This window comes from Homo sapiens, chromosome 5 (genome assembly GCF_000001405.40).
Source record: "Homo sapiens chromosome 5, GRCh38.p14 Primary Assembly".
Classification (NCBI taxonomy): Eukaryota; Metazoa; Chordata; class Mammalia; order Primates; family Hominidae; genus Homo; species Homo sapiens.
In genome coordinates this window covers 96259902-96282092 of record NC_000005.10, presented here as the reverse complement: position 1 = coordinate 96282092, position 22191 = coordinate 96259902, and the positions used below count along the sequence as shown (strand labels likewise).

Below are 22191 nucleotides of genomic sequence, written 5' to 3'. Positions count from 1 at the left end.
CACCACCACGGGGGTGAGCACATGCTAGGTCTGGTCAAACCACCCCAGAAAGTGATCGTTCAACAATGGACATAGGACTCAAGTGGAGCCTATAAGAGCGTTGCCAGGAGTTTTTTACAGGACCTGAGAAGATGCTCTCTCCATGGAGTTGATAAAGCTAATAGAATTTCTACTAGCAGAAGATGTTAATTGTTCTCCAATATCTGTTCCCTCTTTTTTTCACAATAATAAAGTTTCAGCTAGGCAAATGGTCTTACACAATACGTAGAATAAAAGCCTACATTTTCCAGCCTTCCTTGGAAAATGTAGCTACATATGGCCACATCAATGCCATGTAAGTGAAAATGTCATGTGAGAGCTTTCAGATACCTTTTTTAAGAAACAGTTGCTTTGTACCCTTCATCATTACTTCTCTCCTCGCGCATCTGCTGCTTGGGACATGGACATCATGGCCGGAGCTCCATTGTGAACCAGGGATGGCAAGGCAGAAAACTGTAATGATAAGCAGCTGAAGTCTTCTGGGGGACATAATTGTCTTACTTGCCGTGAATTGCTTACAACTAGACCCTTATGTGAGAGAGAAATAAACTATCTTGTTTAAGCCACTTAGCATTTTTCCTGTTACTTGCAGCTGTAATTAACTGCTGATTAATCTTGGTTAATTCATTGCCTTCATCAACTGTTCACCACACACAGAGACACTGCCTGAGCATGAAGACAACTCAGAGAAAGGCAGAGCAAAAACAAAAAGAATTCTGTTAATATAATTTGAGTCACCGGATCTAGTCACGCCTAAAGTCATGCTACCTTTTGAGTTTTTCAGTTAAATAAGCCAGCCTATTTACTTGTTGCTTAGGATGTTAAAACTTGAGTTTCTGTCATTTGCAACAACAACAATAAAAGTCCAGATGAATCAGCAACCATGAGGAAGTATTGCTCTCAATAATGCATATGACATTATTTTGACCAATTATGGGCTCTAGAATTGGGAGTCAGAATCAATGTATCTTGATATCTCCAGATTCTCAAGAGACAGAGAGGTCTAAACTGACATCTGGATTACATTATCATCCACATTATTCCTTTGCCATGGGCATATTGTTTCTATTATTTTAAACACCACATGGAGCTCCACAGGCTTGCAAGACATTTCCCTGGAAATTAATAATTCAGGAAGATTCACCTGGCTTCAAAGTACAGGAGGGACTGAAAGGATTTTGAAGGGTGGAATGGAATCGCAGAGACCAGTTAGGAGTAGGAATTGAGGTAACAGGGGCTTAGTGTTAGTGTGAATACATACAAAAGGACAACAGTTAAGAAAAAAAAAAAAATCTTACCTCTACCTTTAACACATGTTCTGTTCTACTGGTATTTTATATTAGTAAAGTGGTTCATAGTTCATGAAGTATTTTCACATACATTATCTCATTTGATACTTAAATAAGCAAAGTGAGTAACTAGTGTTACCATTTTACAGAAGTGGAAACTGAGGCTTAGTGTGGGTATGGGTCTTACCCAAAGTCATGTTGGTGTCAGAGCAGGGGCCAAAACCCAGATTTTCTGATTAGCAGTTGAATCTGGATGCATTGGCTCTCTCCGTACAGAGACTTACCTATAAGCAAAATTTTCTTTTCAAGCAACTTCATTCAGTTTTGTTTGTGAATTCTACTTCATTGTTAGTCATTTCATTGTTCTCTTCTTACTCATTACCTGTCCTGAGAAGTGATGTAGGCTGAGAGACAAAACTTTATCCTAATATGAATCATCTTTATAATGCAATATTGGAACCAAGGAGTGTGTGTGTGGGGACTGGGGGAGTGGAATTAGGAACTACCAAACAGCAACAAAAACCACAACGTTGAGTACCAGAGAATGAATTTACGGTAATTTAAAAAATCTTTTTCTCTGCTTAGTGCCTCCAATACGAGATCACCTCTTGTTCATTATGGCACCAGTAGGCCTGATTATTTTAATAATTTACCATTTCAAGGAGCCATGGAGACAGAAAGGAAATTGCTTTTAGACAATGTGTTATTCAAGCAAACGGAAATGGTTTCTGAACCACAGAAAACAAATAAACATGCCTCTACCTGGAACTTCATTAGTGTTTGCCTGTTGTCTGGCGCTAAAGGATGTGCTTTAAAAAAATGGTGCAGTGTGTGCTTGGAGATTCTGAATGTTAGTGGGGCTATCTGAACTCTAAAAGAAGAGGATGTTGACTGTGTCTAGGACCACTGAACTTGGATGAACTCCTACAGGCTGGGTGTGAAACCACATGCTAAATGTCTTCCCATACAGCAAAATAAGATGCCAAATCCTTAATGGTCAGCTCAGTTTTTATAACTTCTCAAGAAGCATATTTTATTATTACTCAAAATATAATGCAAGTATACCATGTATAGCTGTGGTATAAGAACATTAATCAGAACATTGATACATGGTGCTCTAGTGACACTGTAAAGCCTTCTAGAAGAATTACCCATCTTCTGTTCTTATCATGTCTATTAATGTGCCTTTCATCCTTTGCTTGTGAATTAAAAAATACGTTGTTTGGAATTCTGTGGGATCCTGCTGAATTCCTTAGGACCATGGTCAAACATAGCTAAATGGTTATCCTTTTCCATAATATTATTCTTGGGCATGGAAAGGAGTATCTTTTTAATAAAGGAAAATTGGCAGGGGGATTCCTTGCAGTGCAGGCCTGGTTTGGCACAAAAAGTGAGGTGTTAGAGATGCAAACATCTCATCTTCAGATCCGCAGCTGGCAAAAACACAAGGGGACACATTTCCCTGGCAAGACTGGGCCATCTGCAGCACCACAGTGGGCCTCAAGTCTCTGGACTGACCTTCGATCAAATGGTAGAAATCCAGAGTAAAGCAATGTGACCTGGCAAACAGAGGCTCCTGGAGCAGAGTGTGTGATTTCTTCCATTCCTGCAGAGATCCTCATTTGGCTGGAAGTCCACCCGAGAGACCAAGTGTTTCCAGATATTTGGCAGAAAAAGAAATACTCTCTTTTCAGCTTTCTCTAATTCAAAGAAATAGAATGCTGACAAGAAAATATGAGTATCATCCATCCTTCTGATATAGCATTAATAGCTGTACAGATTTTAATGTTTATACATAATGGTGCTAACAGTGGCTGCTTATATGGTCATTATAAGACTACAACATTTTTTAAGCTATAGGATATGATGAGAGATAGTAGATGAAATATGTGGATGCATGTATTTATGCATATGTATATATACATGCATGTAACTGCATGTGTGTGGCATGATACATGATGAAATATGAATGCATGTGCATACATGCACAGTGTATGTGTATATGCATGTGTGTGTGTATACACAAGTGGTATATTGAGCATGCAGGACTCAAGAGGTGTAATCACAAAAAGCCATTTTGCTTTTGTTTTCTATCTTCTGCTGTCTTTCGTAGGCAGGGGACATCTTCCTCTTCCCCTGGATGGAAATAAGCAATCCCATGCTTTTTCTAAGCATACCTAGGATATACAAAATCCTATGATCACTTTAAGTTGTAAAATATAATCCTTAATTCAGATACTAGAAATTCCAGCTGCATGTATGAACCAGTGTGGCAGAAGCTACCATGTTCTCCACCCCATTCCCCATTCCATTTACCAGGCAGGTACACCCATCTCTCAGTTGCTGTGAAGATTACCTAGGCATGGTTTCCGGAGTGTTCTCTCAGAACTGCCATTAGCTGGCAGGTACCATCCTGCCTGGTAAATCTTGACCCCCTCACCACACACACACATCAAAGACTGATTACAAAGGGACAAAAGGCCAGCCTGTGGTTCTAGGAGGAACAGTCTGCTGTGCAACTTACATACAAACCACTCCCCCACAGATGAGGGAAGGCTAGATGTCTCCTGAAATCACATACTTGCTTGGCTTCTTCTTCTTCATCCCTAACCTTACTGACTTTTTCTGAAGAGCATTCCTTAAAATTTTGTTCTCCCCTAAATCCCACTCTCAGACTCTGCTTCTAGAAAACCCAATCTAAGACAAAACAAAATTGAAAAAAAAAAACTCTATTTTAATTCAAAATTAAGACTCCCCACCCTCCAGTTAAGGTACAGCTGTAAGCAGGAAGGTCACCAGCCTTCAGAGAAGGGGGATGGTTAATTTCTTATTACATTACCTGCCCACCACCACCACACTCATGGCCTGCTGGCTGCTATTATCAAATCATTTTCCTGTATCAATTGAAATGAACATACAATTTTTTTAAATGTTTAAGACTATAAATACATTGAAATTCATTGAGATTTTCTAATGTTGACCATTCATATACTTCTGGTGGGAAAAAAAAAAACCTTACTTAATGATGATGTTTTGTATATTTTGAGACTATATTTTTAGCACACACTCACATCCCTTTAGTTTCTACTCCTCTCTTCTCCACACTGATATTATCTAGAATTTTACTTCTGGATTCTTAACAGCTTCTCCGATCCCCACCCACCCACTACCTTTGGTTTTTAAAATTTTTTTAGACAAACTTGAGAATATTTATTTAGTCATCCTTATTTGCCATGTTTAATAGAAAAAATAAGCAATGAAATAATATAATCAGCTAATTTGCAGAAGATGAGATCTCAGTGACCAATAAGCATATAAAAGATAGGCAAACTGACTAGTGATCAAATTAAAACAAGTAGAAGTCATCACACACTAATGAAATCACAGGAAAAAAAAACCAATATAAAAGCTGAGGACACCAATGGCTGGAAAGAAAGTGGGGAAATGGAATTTAGACATTGCTTGTGGAAGAACAAATTAGTACAACTACTTTGGAGAGTTAATATGGCACTCCCCAGAAAAACTGAAAAATGTGCATAGCACATTAATTATACTTCTAGACATGTCCTTCAGGCCTAGAAAAAAATTTGTCCCTGTGGCCAAGAAGAACTACAAAGACGATTTTTACTGCACTGTTTTGAAACAGGGGAAAATGGAAAATAACCTAAATGTTCATAAGAAAGGAATGGATGAATAAATGGTAGTTTATTTATACAATGGAATACTACGCAGCTGTTGAAATGAATGAATTAGATCTTCATGGATAAATCTCAGAAGCATACTACTGAAGAGACAGGACCAATCTAAAGTTGCAAAATGGTACATATGATTCCATCTATGTAAACTTTCAAAGCACAAAATAATATATATGCTCATGAACATACATACATAGAACAAAAGCATGAAAACCTTCATAAAAATGCTATCAGCAAATTCAGAAGAGTGGTGATTCCCAAGGATGGGCATGAGGGATGGGAAACAGATGGGAAAAGGATAATATTAGATGCATTCATAATACTTCCTTACAATTACCCAAACAAAAATGATCTGAAGCAAATAGACAAAAGGCTAACATGTTAAATCTAAGGAGGTGGATACACGAGTATCTGTTACACTTATTTTCTGTATGTTAAAAATATTCAGCAATAGTAGAGTACAGGAATATGTTTGGCTGACCATTTGGAGGCCAAGCTTGTTTCTGATCTCTGCTACAGACAGTTATGTCCTCTAGAACACATTTTTTTACCATCTTCAATCTCAGTTCTTTTCTTTGTAAGTGAAAGGTAATAACATTTTGCCCCAGCCTGCTTCAGTGTTTGAAAGATGACCAAATAAAATAACATATGTAAAAAGCCACGTTGGAAACCATTAAGAGCTTTAAAAAAGTTTAAAGACTTATTGCTGTTTGTATGTTGACATGTAAAATATGAATATCCATAAAATATAATAATGCTAGTTCAGAGGCCCAATATCAACATATTGTACATTTTTACTATGGGTTTTTATATGGCTATTTTGACTCTGCAAAATTATTCTTGTCATCTTATTCTGCGCTGGTGGCTTGACAAGGAGAGGGAGAAAATCAGGCCCTATCATTCCTCCCAAATCTATCGTTGAAACACTCTAAGGATTTGAGAGTTAAAGCACAAAGATCTACCAGCAACCACTGGGAGAAAAACACTGCATGTAAACATGGTGGGTTAGGAAACATCAGTTTCACGAAGAAGACCACTGGCTAAGAATCACAATATATGCTTCTACTTAGAGATTAAAATTTGTATTTTAAATAATAGCTTTTGGAAAAAGGATGTAAAGTGAAGGAAGAGCAACAGGAGCTTTTAACACGGGTATTCTTCTCAGTTGTGCTCTTCTCAATAAATGAAATCTCCTCGAAAACATTTGTTAGATAGAAGCAATTAAGGCGGAGGCTCTATCCTCTCTCCACTAATTAATTACAGCAAATGAGCCTGTAATGTGCATCATAACAACTTAATAAGCTGGACCAAACTATTTTAGATTCTGCCATGCTAGTATTTGATTGTTGCTGGGCTATGTAAATTAGGTAAGTAATATCTGAACATAAATAGCTTTTGAATTACCTGTGTCCTTCAAAATAAACTCTATATCTTGAGCAGATGTGCTATTTACAAGAAAGGGGTGAGAGCAGAGAATGGTATAGCAGATATGAGGACAGGGAAAGGAGGTGGAGACAGGGAAAACATGAGAGCTTACACAAACTATCATATTATCTTCAATAATTTAATATCCATCCTTTCTACAGCATGTTACAGCAGCCAACTGGATGACATTCCAACAACTCTGTCACATTTTTCAATTTCTGTTGGACCTGAACATTGAAGAATACATAGCTGTATTAGCCTCCCTTTTTTGACATCATTGGTTATATTATCAATTCTTGCCTCAAATATCTAACTGAACCTTGATCAAATTGTGACTAATACAAGCTCTTTAGTAATGTCTCTGCTTTTAATGAAACTTTAAAGAAAATTAGTGACTTATTGAGTCAATGAATAGACTTTGTACATCTGGGGATGAGTTCAAATACGGCTTACTGTCAACGAAACAAGCAAGAGCCCCAGACTAGCTGTGAATTATCTCAGACACAATTATCTGAAACTTTAAAGGCTGGTTTCTTTAAAAATCAAAGGTCAATATGTCTTCCAGGGAATAGCATCTGCTACCACCTCAACGTGTTAATTGACTAACTTCAGCAAATATCAAACAGATCCTCATCTCCCCTTCCTCAAAGTATAAATTGTTCACTGCCCACGAAGGTATAATTCAGGCATTTCCAGATTGGAAGGAGAAGAGGGCATAGGCAAGCAGATCTGGAGGTTTATCAGGTGATCTTTTCTGTAGACCCTTCTTTTTTGTTTATTATTTGTGTCAAGTTTCTCCAGAACATTAGAGCCAGGCATTTCCACGACAGAATGAAAAAGAAAGTTGTACAATTTTCTTAAATATTCTTGAAACATGAGCTGTTTAGTGTCAGAGGGGAGCCTAGCGGTTTGACCAACCAGAAGAATAAGCATAGGCTAGCGACAAAGAGAATAATTAATCAGTTATCTTCCTCTCTTCTCATTGTTGCACCCGTCATCTCTGGGATGTAATGGGTGAAAATGTAGACACGCACACAAAATCTATTTGAGGCCTAAGGGCAACTTTAATAGTGACACAAACTGGAATTGAACACATTTATTGAAGTCTGTTCCAAAATACATTTCATCCTCAAATTTATGATGCTCTTAGAATAAGGAGTAAATATATGCATACCTTTCAGGAGTCATGGTTTTGGTAAAATTTTGGACAGAATTGACACTGGACTATAAAATTGGGGCTCTAGGCTGGGAGCTGTGGCTCGTGCCTGTAATCCCAGCACTTTGGGAGGCCGGGGTGGGCAGATTACAAGGTCAGGAGATTGAGACCATCCTGGCTAACACAGTGAAACCCCGTATCTACTAAAAAATACAAAAAATTAGCCAGGCATGGTGGTGGGCGCCTGTAGTCCCAGCTACTCAGGAGGCTGAGGCAGGAGAATGGCACGAACCCGGGAGGCGGAGCTTGCAATGAGCCAAGATCACGCCACTGCACTCCAACCTAGGCGTCAGAGTAAGACTCTGTCTCAAAAAGAAAAAAAAAAAAAATTGGGGCTCTAACTCATTTCTTCTCTCACACCATCCCTTCCATCTCCCTTTTCCCAAGCAGGGTCTATTTTTGGCAAGTTCTTGCTAAGATGTCAAATAATAAAAATTTCAGGTGTGTCCTCTCCCAGGTGAATATGCATTTTTAAAAGGCAACTCCAAAACGGCAAAGCCTTTAAAGCTCTAAGGAATGACAGGCACAGGGATGTGTTGGTATATGATCAAGCCTCGGTGCCCTGTCAGTACTTCACTGATCTATTTACTGCTAAGGCCAGTCCAGGAGATACTCGAGCAATCAGAACAGACCAGTGAAGAGATATCTACATTGTGTTTACTCTTGTCCAGTAAATGAAAGAGTGTAAAGAAATTCCAGCTTTGAGAAAACTGTTCCTGAATTAGATATTTTCATTAAAATATTCTCTGCATACAAAAATATCTACGCAAGCAATTTGAAAAGGCATGGGATCAGTTTAAATCTTACATGCCTGAAAGTATAAGAAGGTTCAGTCAGCAATATATAACCAACTAAAACCTTTTTCTTCAACAAGGAAAGCCAATACTTCTATATACCTTTGTCATTCATCGACAGGCCATAAATCTACTGTGCATTTGCTTAGAAGAGAAAACTTGAGATACAGTCTTACTTATATTTCTCTCACTCCTACTATTCTCTAGATATTCTATTTCTCTGACTCCTGCTATTCTCTAGATATTCTTTCCTCAACTGTCACACTGCCCCTGTGGTTTTGCACAGTCTCAAATGCTCCAATCTCTTGGCTAGGTTAACAAGCTTATCCAGCTCACCTAACTGGGGAGGACTTCTCTGAAGTTCCATGATGGCACTTCACAGAACAGCTTGGCAGCCTTGAATTCCAATAATAGAAAAGTTATCTTAAACAATAGCTCATTTTATTTACATCAAGTTTATCAACGTCATATCAACCCTAGAACAGTGTTCTCATTTAAAAAACAAACTCCATCAAGACAAGTTCTTCTCTAGGGTTGTTCCTTCTCTTAGCATTAGGGCTGACATTTAAGGAAGGTATACTGGTGTAAAATATTTTATCTCGTCTAAAGATTTATATCAGCTATTCAAATACTTAAAAGCAATGCATTATTTTCCTTGAACCTGTTCACATTTATTATACATCAAATAATTGATTTTCATGAAATCCTCCTCTTGCTTGGCAGAAAGTCATTCTCTTTATTTTTTTATTGATATATAATAGATGTAGATATTTTGAGGCTACATGAAATAATTGCATATATCCATATAATTTGTAATGATCAAATCAGTGTGATTGGAATATCCATCACCTTAACTATTTGTCTTTTCTTTTTGCCAGAAACCTTTGAGTTATTCCCTTCTAGCTATTTTGAAATATAGAATATTATAAACTATAGTCACCCTACTGATCTATCAAACACTACATCTTATTTCTTCTATCAAACTGCATATTTATACCCAATAATTAGCCTCCCTTCATCCCCCCTCTCCCTACCATTTTTGGCCTCTCATAACCATTATCTACTCTCTGTCTTCATGAGATCCACTTTTTTAGCTCTCACATATGAATGAGAACATGCAATATTTGTCTTTCCGTTATTTCACTTAACATTATGATCTCCAGTTCCCATGTTGCTTGCTGCAAATGAAAGGATTTCATTCTTTTTATGGTTAAATAATATTCTATTGTGTATATGTACCACATTTTTTTATTCATCCCTGGGTGGGCACTTCCCTTGATTTGATCTTTTGGCTATCGTGAATAGTGCTGCAACAATAAACATGGGAGTACAGAGATATCTTCAATATATTGATTTCCTTACTTTTGATACATACCCAGTAGTGAAATTACTGGATCATATGGGAGTTCTATTTTTAGTTTTTTGAGGAACCTCCATAGAGTTTTTTCCACAGTGGCTTTACTAATTCACATTCCCACCAACAATGTCCTAGGGCTCCCTTTCTGCACATCTTTGTTGGCATTCGTTATCCCCCTTTTTTATGAAAGCTATTTTAACTGGAGTGAGGTGATATCTCATTATGGTTTTGATTTGCATTTCTCTGATGGTTAGTGCTGTTGAGCATTTAAAAAATATATCTGATGGCCATTTGTATGTCTTCTATTGAGAAATGTCTATTCGGATCTCTTGTCCATTTTAAAACATCAGAATATTTGTTTTTTTGCTATTGGGTTGTTTATGCTGCTTATATATTCTGCTTATTAATCCTTTGTCAGATGGGTAGTTTGCAAATATTTTCTCCCATTCTGTGAGGTGTCTGTTCACTTTGTTAATTGTTTCCTTTGCTGTGCAGAAGTTTTTAGCTTCATATAACTCCATTTGTCTCTTTTTGCTTTGGTTTCCTGTGCTTTGAGATCTTACCTAAAAATTCTTTGCCCAGACCAATGTCCTGGAGCATTTCTTCAATGTTTTTTTTTTTTTTTCCTAGTGGTTTCATAGTTTCAAGTCTTAGGTTTAAGTCTTTAATCCATTTTTATTTGATTTTTGTACATCGTGAGAGATAGAGATCTAGTTTTATTCTTCTGCATATGGTTATCCAGTTTTCCCAGCACCATTTATTGAGAAGACTGTCCTTTTTCCATTGTATGTCTTTGATGCCTTTGTCAAAAATGAGTTGGCTGTAAATGCATGGATTTATATCTGTGTTCTCTATTCTGTTCCATTGGTCTATGTGTCTGTTTGTATGCTTGTACCATGCTGATTTGGTTATTATAACTTTGTAGTATATTTTGAAGTCAGGTAGTGTGATGCCTACAGCTTTGTTCTTTTTACTTAGGGTTGCTTTAGCTATTTGAGGCCTTATGTGGTTCCATATACATTTTAGAACTGTTTTTTTACTATTTCTACATTGAATCTGTATGTTGCTTTGGATAGTATTGTCACTTTAACAATATTAGTTCTCGCAAACCATGAACACAGAATATCTTTCCTTTTTTGTGTCTTCTTCAATTTCTTTAATCAGTGTTTTATAGTTTTCCTTATATAGATCTTTCACTTTTTCAGCTAAACTGCTTCTGGATCATTTTATATTATTTGTAGATATTGTAAATGGGGTTGCTTTCTTCATTTTTTTTAAATATTATTTGCTGTTAGTGTATAAAATGTTACTGCTTTTTGTGTGTTGCTTTTGTATCCTGCAACTTTACTAAATTATTTTATCCATTCTAGCAGTTTATTTTTGGAGTCTTTTTTTTTTCTTAATCTTTTATTTTAAGTTCAGGGGTATGTGTGCAGGATGTGCAGGTTTGTTACATAGGTAAACGTGTGCCATGGTGGTTTGCTGCACAGATCATCCCATCACCCAGGAATTAAGCCCAGCATTCATTAGCTGTTCTTCCTGATGCTCTCCTTCCCCCAACCTCACCCCCTCGGATAGGCCCCAGTGTGTGTTGCTCCCCACCATGTGTCCATGTGTTCTCATCATTCAGTGCCCACTTGTAAGTGAGAACATGTGGTGTTTGGTTTTCTGTTCCTGTGTTAGTTTGCTGAGGATAACGGCTTCCAACTCCATCCATGTCCCCGCAAAGAACATGATCTTGTTCCTTTTTATGGCTGCATAGTATTCCATAGGTGAAGTCTTTAGGTTTTTCTAAGTATAACATCATGTTGTCTGCAAACAAGGGTAATTCAATTTCTTCCTTTCCAATTTGGATGCCCTTTATTTCTTTCTCTTGCATAATTGCTGTGGCCAGGACTTCCAGTATTATGTTAAATAAAAGTGGTAAAAGTGGGCATCCTTGTCTTGTTCCAGATCTTAGAGGAAAGTCTTTCAATTGTTTCCCATTTAGTACTACATTAACTGTGAGTTTGTCATATATGACCTTTATTATTCTGAGGTACATTCCTTCCATTTCCAGTTTGTTGGGGGTTTTTGTCATAGAGGGATGTTGAAATTTATCAAATGCTTTTTTTGGCATCTATTGAAATGATTATACGGTTTTTGTTCCAGGTTCTGTTAATGTGATGTATCATGTTTATTGATTTGCATATATTGAGCCATCCTTGCATCCCTGGAATAAATCCTACTTGATCACGATAAATGATCTTTTTAATGTGTTGTTAAATTCAGTTTGCTAGTATTTTGTTGAGAATTTTTGCATCAATATTTATCAGCAATATTGGCCTGTAGTTTTCTTTTTTGTTGTGTCCTTGTCTAGTTTTGGTATAAGGGTAACACTGACCTCATAGAATGTATTCCCTCCTTCTCAATTTTTTTAAAGAGGTTGAGTAGAACTGATATTAGTTCTTCTTTAAATGTTTTGTGTAACTTAGCAGTGAAGCCATCAGGTCTTGGGCTTTTCTTTGATGCGATACTTTTTATTACAGCTTTGATCTTGATACTTGTTATTGATTTGTTGAGGTTTTCTATTTTCTCATGGTTTAATCTTGGTAGGTTGTATATGCCCAGAAACTTTTCTAGGTTTTCCAATTTGTTGGCATATATAGTTGTTCATAATAGTCTCTAATTATTGTCTGTGTTTCTGTGGCTTCAGTTGTTATGTTTCCCTTTTGTTTATGATTTTATTTATTTGAGTCTTTCATGTTCCATGTGCTGATAGAAGAATGTGTATTCTGTAGCAGCTGGGTGAAATTTTCTGTAAAAGTCAATTAGGCTCATTTGTTCTCATGTGTAGTTTAACTCCAGTGTTTCTTTGTTGGTTTTATGTCTGGATGATTTGTCCATTACTGAGAGTAGGATGTCGAATCCCCTACTTTTATTGTATTGTAGCCTATCTCTCCCTTTAGATCTATTAATGTTTGCTTTTATACTTGGAAGCTCCATTGTTGGGTATATAGATATTTATAATTGTATATTGTCTTGCTGAATTGTCCCCTTTCACGTTATATAATGATTTTCCTTGTCTCTTTTTATAGTCTTTGATTTTTAGTCTATGTATTAGTCCATTTTCATACTGCTAAAAAGAACTACCTGAGACTGGCTAATTTATTTTTAAAAAAGAGAGAGAAAGAGCTTTAATTGACTCACAGTTCCACATGGCTAGAGGGGCCTCAGGAAATTTATAATCATGGTGGAAGGCAAAGGGGAAGCAAGACACATCTTACACAGCAGCAGTAGCAAGAGAGAACAAGGGGGTAACTGCCACACTTTTAAACCATCAGATCTCATGAGAACTCACTCACTCTCACGAGAACAGCATTGGGGGAAACTGCTGCCATGATCCAATCACCTCCCATTTGGTCTCTCCCCTACACATGGGGATTACAATTTGAGATGAGATTTGGGTAGGGACACAGAGCCAAACCATATCAGTCTACTTTATCTGATAAAAGTATAGCTGCTCCTGCTCTTTTTTGGTTTCCAGTTTCATGGAATATATTTTTTCATTCCTTCACTTTAAGTCTATATGTGGTCTTTAAAGATGAAGGTGGTTTCTTGTAGACAGGATATATTTGGGTCTTATTTCTTTATCCATTCAGCTATGCTGTGCCTTTTATTTTTGATTTATTTTTATTTTTTAAAGATAGGATCTTGCTCTGTTGCCCAGGCTGAAGTGCAGTGGTGAAATGGAGTGCAGTGGTGCAATCATACCTCACTGTGGCCTCAAATTCATGGATTCAAGGGATCCTCCTGTCTCAGCCTCCCAAGTAACTGGGACTATAGAGATGTACCTCCATATTCAGCTAATTATAAAATTTTTTTTTATGTAGAGATGGGGTTTTGCTATGTTGCCCAGACTGGGCCCGAACTTCTTGCCTCAGGCAATTCTCCCATCTGAGCCTCCTAAAGTGCTGGGATAATAGGAATGAGCCACTGCAGTTGGGTCCTCTGTGCCTTTTAGTTGGAGAATTAAACCCTTTTACATTCAGTGTTATTATTGATAAGTAAGGACTTACTACTTCCATTTTGTTGCTTATTTTCGGGTTGTCTTGAAACTCCTCTCTTCCTTTCTTCCTTTTTATTATCTTTCTTTGTGGCTAGGTTATTTTCTCTGGTAGTATGTTTTAATTCATTACTTTTTATTTTTAGTGAATTTATTAGAGGTTTTTACACTGTGGTTACCATGAGGCTTACAAAAAGACATCTTATAGATATAATAAGTTATTTTAAAGAGATGACAATTTATCTTAGATCATAAAGAATAGAAACAGAGAAAAAAGGAAGAAACCTCTATACTTTAACTCCATACCTCCTACATTTTGACTTTACGTTGTCTCAGTTTACATGTTTTATATTGCCTATATCTTGAGATTTCTATAGCCATTATTGTTTATCTTTTATGCTTCATACTAGAGTTATGAGTTGATTGCATAACACAATTACAGCAGTAGAGTATTCTGGGTTTGTTAGTGTATTTAATTTTACCTATGGGTTTTATTCTTCCAAATGTTTTATTTTTGCACATTAGTGGGATTTTTTTTTCTCAGATTGAAATCTTCCCTTTAGCATTTCTTATAAGACAGGTCTGGTGGTGGTGAATTCTCTCAGCTTTTCTTTGTCGTGGAGAAACATTATCTCTTCTTCATATTTGAAGGATAGCTTTGCTGGATACAATACTCTTAGATGGCAGACTTTTCTTTCAGCACTTTGAAAATGTTGTCTCACTCCATCTTTGCCTGTATAGTTTCCGTTGAGAAGGTTGTCAAACAAATTGGAGCTCTGTTATTTGTTATTTGCTTTCTTTCTCTTGATGCCTTTAGAATCCTCTCTCTGTCCTTCATTTTTGAAAATTTGATTATTATATGCCTTGGGGCAGTCTTATTTGGGTCAAATCTGTTTGTTGTTCTCTGACCTTCTGGTACCTGGATATTTATCTCTTTCTCAAGTTTTGAAAAGTCTTCCATTATTATTTATTTAAATCATTTTCTACTCCTTTTTGTTGCTCAACTCCCTCTTGAACATCAATAATTCTTAGATTTGGTCTTTTGAGGCAATTTTCTATACTTTGTAGGTGATTTTCATTCCTTTGCATTCTTTTTTATTTTTTCTCTTTGATTGTATATTTTCAAATAGCCTGTCTTCAGGCTCACTAATTATTTCCTCTACTTGATCCATTCTGCTATTGAGAGCCTCTAATACATTTTTCAGTTCAGCAAATGCATTTCTCAGTTCTGATATCTCTGTTTGATTTTTAAAAGTTATTTCAATCTCTGTTAAATTTCTCAGAAAAAATTCTGAATTGATTTTCTGCCTTATCTTGGAGATCATTGAGTTTCCTTAAAACTGCTATTTAGCTTTCTTGGTCAAAGAGTTCATATATTGCCATCTCATTGTGGTCAGTCACTGGTTTCTTTTTGTGTCCACTGGAGAGGTCATGGCTCTATTTGCTGTTGTTTATTATGAATGTACATCTATATCATTGCATTGATGAATTAGTTATGTATTTCAGTCTTCTGTCTGGCTTGTTTGGGTTTTTACTGGATATGTTTGCTTAGAGATTCTTTGTAATTTACCTGTTGATTATCTTTCTCTTTTTTTCTTTAGGTTTCTGCCTCCTTTTCCGCACTAGATAGTGCCTCAAGCCCAGGTTTGCTTCAGTTCTAGTAAACAGAGTGCCAGCCAGGGGACCTGTAGAATGAACTTTCTACAGTGTAGTGCTGCTGAACAGTCACTCTGATTTGGTGTCTCCTTTGGTCCAGGTACAGAGCAGAGTTTCCAGGGCTGGGGTTACTAGTGCCCCCCTCCCCTTTGCCTTTATCTCTCTTTAGGGATATTTCTTTATTCAGTTACTCCTGATGCTTCCTGTGGGTTCAAGCAGGGAAAGTTCTCCTGGCATGGAACCCAAGGTGATGAGGAAGCTGGTTATCCCCTATGATCTCACTTTTACTAGTGTGGAAACCATGGGTTGGGGGAAATTTTTAATCACTCTTGTTGCCAGATTAGGAGGAGGCATTACAAATATGAAAGTCAGATTCTCTTACCATCTGCTCAGGGCTTTTTCACTTATTTGTGGCCCTGGGAACTGTCTCATCCTCATATTTTAGTTCTGGGATATTGCTGGTTATAATCTCAGTAATGTATATTTGTTTTATATGGGAAGAAGTGAAGCCAGCTTGCTTTTACAAAGCCATTGTGGAACCAGAAGACCCCCACTCCTTTACTCTCAGGAGACTGAATATTTTGAGAAAATCACTGTATTAGGTTAGTCTAAGTGATGGGAATTTGATTCTTCCATGACATCGTATCAGTTTTTTTTTAACTAATGAAAATTGCTAAGTGAAAAAGTAGGATAAGAAATTTGTCTATATATTATTGGAATAACCACATTAAAACAAACAGCAAAATTTATTTGTAGATGGCAAACAAACAAGACGGGTTTTCAACTTCAATAGGCACCAAGAAAATGAAACCACAGTGTGTACTACACTGGAATGGTTAATTTTATGTGTCAACTTGACTAGGCTAAGGGATGCCCAGATAACTGGTAAAACATTACTTCTGGGTGTGTCTGTGAGAGTGTTTCTAGAAGTGATTAGCATTTGAATCAGAGACTGAGTAAAGAAGATCTTCCCTCATTATTCATAAATTGAGGGCCTGAATAGAACAAAAAGGTAGAGGAAGGGCAAATTTCCCCTCCTTTCTTAAGTTGGGATGTCTGTCATCTCCTGCTCTCAGACATTGGAGCTCCTGGTTCTCTAAGGCCTTTAGGACTCCAGCTGGCCTTCTCCAACCTCTACCCCATGGCTCTCGGTCTTTTGGACTTGGAATGACTTACATCACTGGCTTTCCTGCGTCTCCAATTCCTTATAGAAGGAATTTACTACATATGTATACATATATATGTAGTAAATTTTATATATGTAAATTAAAAATATATATATTTACATACACACATATGTACACACACACGCACACCTCCTTTTGGTTCTGTTTCTCCGGAGAACACTGACTAACACACCCACTTATACCAGAGTGCCTAAAATCTAAAAAGATGTGAAAGGCCAAGTGGAGAGAGCAGAACTCTCATATGGTACTGGTAGAAAGGAAACTTGGTACAAATACTTTGAAGATCTGTTCAGCATTATCTATTTAGACCAAATACATACATATCCTGTTACCTGACAATTCCATTTTTAGGTATATTTCCAACAGAAATGCATACATACATTCACCTAAATACATGGACCGGAATGTTTATAGCATAACCTTAAATCAAAAACTATCAAATGTCCATCACCAATTAAATGGATAACTGTATCAGAGTACATTCACAGAATCAAATACTCTGCAACTATGAAGGTAAATCATCTACAATTGTGCACAAAAATATGAATTAATCTCACATACATGGAGTCAAATGAAAGAAGCCAGATATAAAAGCATATACACGTGAGATTCCATTTATATGAAGTACAAAAACAGATGAAACTAACTAATGTCATGTGTATGCTATTTATGTCACGAAGGTGCAAAGAGGAAGTCAAATGCCCACAGGATGAATAGGAATATTCATCCTCCATACTTTCCCCTTCTCCCATGAGAGGGTCCCACCACAAGCACTACACACAATAAAACTAAGTTTTCAAATGAACGCTATTGCTGAAGCTGAGAATAAGAAGGCACAAAGCCATGGAGACACACTTAATGCTGCTCACAGGACAGAAAATGTCATTCCCACAAACTCAGACCCTGACTATCAAGAAAGAGGTTTTTCTTTCATTTTTCCCATTTATGTTCCCATCAGAGCACAGAAATACTGTGATTTAGGCTATAGTTATAAATGAAAACTAGTTAGGTGTGATGTGGTAGAGGAAAGGGTTATTAAGTATGGTGATAAAGAATACGAGTAGACTTATTTAATGTGTTTTACACCAAGACATTTGCCAGGAACTATTATAAACATTTACTTTACCCATACTCTTTATGAGAAAAGTTGCAGGTGAATATTGCGCTAAGACTCCCTCTAATTTGTTTAAACTGTGCACAAACAGACCACATAAAGGCTCAGAAGACATTGACAGAGGATATTGCTATAATTGAATACAATTTACAACAAAGATAATCTGACACGTATTTAGTGATATGTATGAAAGCTAATTTTGCTAGGTAAAGAGCAAGTGGCCCATGATATGGTTTGGCTCTGTGTTCCCACCCAAATCTCATTTTGAATTATAATCTCCACATGTCAAGGGAAGGACCTCATGGGAAGTGATTGGATCATGGGGGTGGTTTTTCCCATGCTGTTCTCATGATAGTGAGGGAGTTATCACAAGATCTGATGGTCCTAAAGTGTGGCACTTCCCCTTTGCTTGTTCTCTTTGTCTCTCCTCCTGGTGCCATGTAAGACGTGCCTTGCTTCTCCTTTGGCTTCCACCATGATTGTAAGTTTCCTGAGGCCTCCCCAGCCATGTGGAACTGTAGGTCAATTAAACCTCTTTTATTTATAAATTACCTGGTCTCAGGTACTATTTTTATAGCAGTGTAAAAATGGACTAATACAGTACATATAAGTAGTTAAATGAGGATTATTTTTACTTGGTCAACCAAGTCTCTCTCTCTCTCTCTCTCTCTCTAATTTGCTATCCTACAACTTTTTCCATGGTAAGGATCCTTCTTTTCTCTTTGTGCCCCTGTGGCAGAGGCTGGCACCAAAAATTCTCAACAGGTGATTGTTGAATGGAGAACATCCCATATTGATAATTTATCCTAGACCTCTCTCTTTCATCAGGATTTCTTGTGCTCCATCCATCCATAATGGCTCGTCACTCTCAGTGGGGTCCTTGACACATTTCTTTTTTCTTCTTCACTTTCAGTTTCCTTGAGCCACTTGTCCAACTGCTTATCACTTACCACCCACAACCCCCACCCTTCTCCACCCACAGATCTACCTATCTCATGCCCTGGGTTTAAAAATATGAAAGCAGTAGAACTCTGGGATACAGGCAGATGGCAAATCAACAAAGGCTGGGATTCTCAGCCCTGTCTGCACATTAGAATCACTTGGGGATCTTTTAAAATATACTGACGCCCATACCCTACTGCAAGAAATTCATACTTGGTTTGTCTGGGATGGATCCCTGGCAGCTGTATTTTTAAGTGTGCCACTTAATTCCAACACAGTCAGGGCTAAGAACTACTGCCTAGAGGATTAATGTATTCACTAGACGTGGGGAAGGACCACACATATAGCAGGACATAGGAGAAAGGAGAAGGGGCTGTAAGTGTAAACTGTGGGCATCTTGAGGCATAAAGGAGGAAGAGTTGGGGTGGAGAGAAAAACCAGTTGAGCAAGAAGACCTATCCTTGGTCAGGGATTGGGCCCTGCTAAAAAGAAGCTGGTAGGCTGGGCGTGGTGGCTCATGTCTGTAATCCCAGCACTTTGGGAAGCCGAGGCAGGCGGATCACGAGGTCAGGAGATCGAGACCGTCTTGGCTAACGTGGTGAAACCCTATCTCTACTAAAAATACACACACAAAAAATTAGCCGGGCGTGGTGGCAGGCGCCTGTAGTCCCAGCTACTCGGGAGGCTGAGGCAGGAGAATGGCATGAACCCGGGAGGCAGAGCTTGCAGTGAGCCGAGATTGCACCACTGCACTCCAGCTTGGAGGACAGAGCAAGACACTGTCTCAAACAAAAACAAAAACAAAACAACAAAAAAAGAAGCTGACAGCCCTCAGACATACCTCTACTCAGTCCTAAGCAGCTACTAGCAAGTGAGCTTCTGCTGGCTCTATTAAGGGCATGAAAGCCTGATTTTAATCTCATGAAGAAAGGACAGAGTAAGGACAGAGCACAGCACTCAGCATATGAAAAGTTGAGGAAGCTATAGTGAGAATAGTCTGTTTTTCCTCGGTGCAGTGGCTTCAGCCCCCTTCTCCTCCCTCCCAACCCACTTTCAGCACCACACTCCCATCTGCTACGTGTGCTGCCTCAGACCTGGGCCACCACACGTTCTCTTTTCACTCCCTCTCAGGAATTCTACTTTTACTATACAGTAATGTTTGATGGGAGTGTTTTAATAGTTGTTGTTATTGTTTTATTATGAATTTAGCTTCTAGTTCATCACAAGGAAGACTACTTTCCCAAGAAAACTTCAAGTGCAGGCTTTAGAATCAAACCTAAGTTTGAAGGTTAATTTGATCATTTATTAGCTATAAGACCTTGGGTAATTGATTCTCTGAGTTTCAGTTATTTTCAATCTATAAAATGGAAATGATAATATCTACCTCGAAAGGTTTTGTGAGGATTAGATGTGATCATAAAAAGAATGTTCCTGAAAATTGGAAGGTGCATAACAAATATTCGTTTTCTCCCCCTTTGGATAAAACCTATCTTTCAGACCTGCACTGTCCAATATGGCAGCCGCTAGCCACATGTAGCTGTTTAAATTTAAATTAACTAAAAGTATTTAAAATTAAAAATTCAGGGGCCTTTTTTTTTGTTCCACTAGCAACATTTCAAGTGCTGAAAGGCCACATATAGCTATTACATACCTTGTTTGTACAGCACAGATGTGGAGGCCAAAGCAATTCCATCTTGGATGCTAATCTGCCATGTTAGCTTCTGATTAACTGCTGTTCCAGGAAGGCCTCTAAGAGTTCCAATTGTTCCTTGTGTAACAGCAAGTACTTACTGTAAATCCTGCTCTTGGGTCAAACAATCTTGATGTTATTGTAGATCAATTGTTCTGCACATCCCTTCTGCATCATGTATAGCCTTTCCCTATGGTATATAAGCCCTGGATGGGGGGGTAATAGCATGGGGATCCATCATCTTGTCCCACTGTCACCCAAGACACAGACATGGCTTCTGTTTGTAAGTCTCTATTAATTGTTTCTTTCTCAGAAAACAGATTTGTCAGCCTCTTTCTTCAGCCTCTTAGCTTTCTCAGACTTTGGAGTAGGTTTACATAGACCTGCCCATGGCAGAACAACAGATAATACAACATTTTCATCATTGTAGGAAATTCTCATGGGCAATGCTGATATACCACTAGAGCCTGCTTAAATGCAGCTACAAGGAAGATGAGAATCATCCATGAAGCCCACTGGCCAGGTAATGAGATGCAAAACACATGCCTTTCTTTATTGGTGTCTACTCCTAGGAAGAAAGGGACCAAAAAAAGAGAGAAGATGCTCAGGAATCTCAAAATAAGCCCACCCTTACTCAGCAATTTTGCTGAGGATGAGCAGGTTCCATTAGTCTTTAGCTCTGTGTAACCAAATAAAGCCATCCGAGGTTGTCAGGCAAAGGCATATTTGCCATAAGTTTTATATATTATTCACTCACAGCTTTTAGACACTGACTTGGTCAACTTTGAATTCATTTCCCAAACAACCTGGGCTAAATTAAGCAACACGGAAGAGCTATGAGGCAGGGAGCCTTTTGAGATCATCTAACCCATCATCTCAGACTTTGAAGTTGCCTTTTATCTTAATTGCCATGCCTAGGCCAGCCTGCCAATAAATGCCATCTGATGCCTATGGTCTCCAGGTCACTGGTTCAGATCATGATTTGTTTAAGCAGGAAAAGCAAGAACATGATGGGCCACAGGGTGTGGTTGTGCAGTCTGTGCACTGTACAAGTCCATAAGATGCCATTTACAATGTTATCATTATAAATGCATATATTATTCTGACAATTTCCCAGAAAATAACAATAATGTATTAAGAAATGGATGGCTTTCCTTAGCTTTCACAAAGGTACTTTCTACATTAGCTGCAGGGGTGAGTGAGTGGTTCACTCTGAAGCTAAAGGACAGAAAACAGACAAAGATGTTGAAATCTTTAAACTAGGGGAATTTCAGCATTGGGGTCCAAGAATGTTCTGTGTATCCACAGAAGTCTTTGTTCCAACAGCTGCTAGAGAAATTCTGCCTCATGATTCTCTAGACCGGATCAGCCTTGCTCTCCGGTTTTAGAGATTTTCGCTAGTTCTGACCAGATTCCAATACCAACACAATGGTTCTCAAGCCTGGCTCTCTATTCATCTGGGGAGTTTTGTTGTTGTTTTTTTAATCTGGTTTTAAACCCTAGTTCACACTAATAAATCAGGATCTCTGTGGGTGGAGCCCAGGAAACAGTATTTTGTGAAAGTGTCTAATGTCTGCGGGGTTGAGAACTGCTCCTCTGGCGTATGGAAAAAAAAGAAAAGGATGGAAAATGGGACTCTGATGTCCTAAGCCTGGAGTAAATTGTTAAATAGAAGAAAGCTTCTTAAAAGTATTCACGCAGGGCTTTCAGTCATTAAGACCAAAAGATAATGGAAAACATAA

At 37.9% G+C, this 22191-nt stretch overlaps 1 protein-coding gene and 1 long non-coding RNA gene across 13 annotated transcripts in view, besides 1 other annotated feature; both read right to left on the bottom strand.

Moving 5' to 3' along the window:
* The window catches only part of CAST (calpastatin), an 813255-nt gene that overhangs the window by 492591 nt on the left and 298473 nt on the right, over positions 1–22191 (bottom strand). The gene's annotated exons all lie outside the window — the stretch shown is intronic.
* The window catches only part of LOC101929710 (uncharacterized), a 669085-nt gene that overhangs the window by 348993 nt on the left and 297901 nt on the right, over positions 1–22191 (bottom strand). The window lies entirely within an intron of this gene.
* Positions 1745–1794: an enhancer, noted in NCBI's record as "active region_22814". NCBI's record gives its function as "activates an Ori minimal core promoter by ATAC-STARR-seq in GM12878 lymphoblastoid cells {active_cell/tissue: GM12878}" and the evidence as "EXISTENCE:reporter gene assay evidence [ECO:0000049][PMID:35858748]".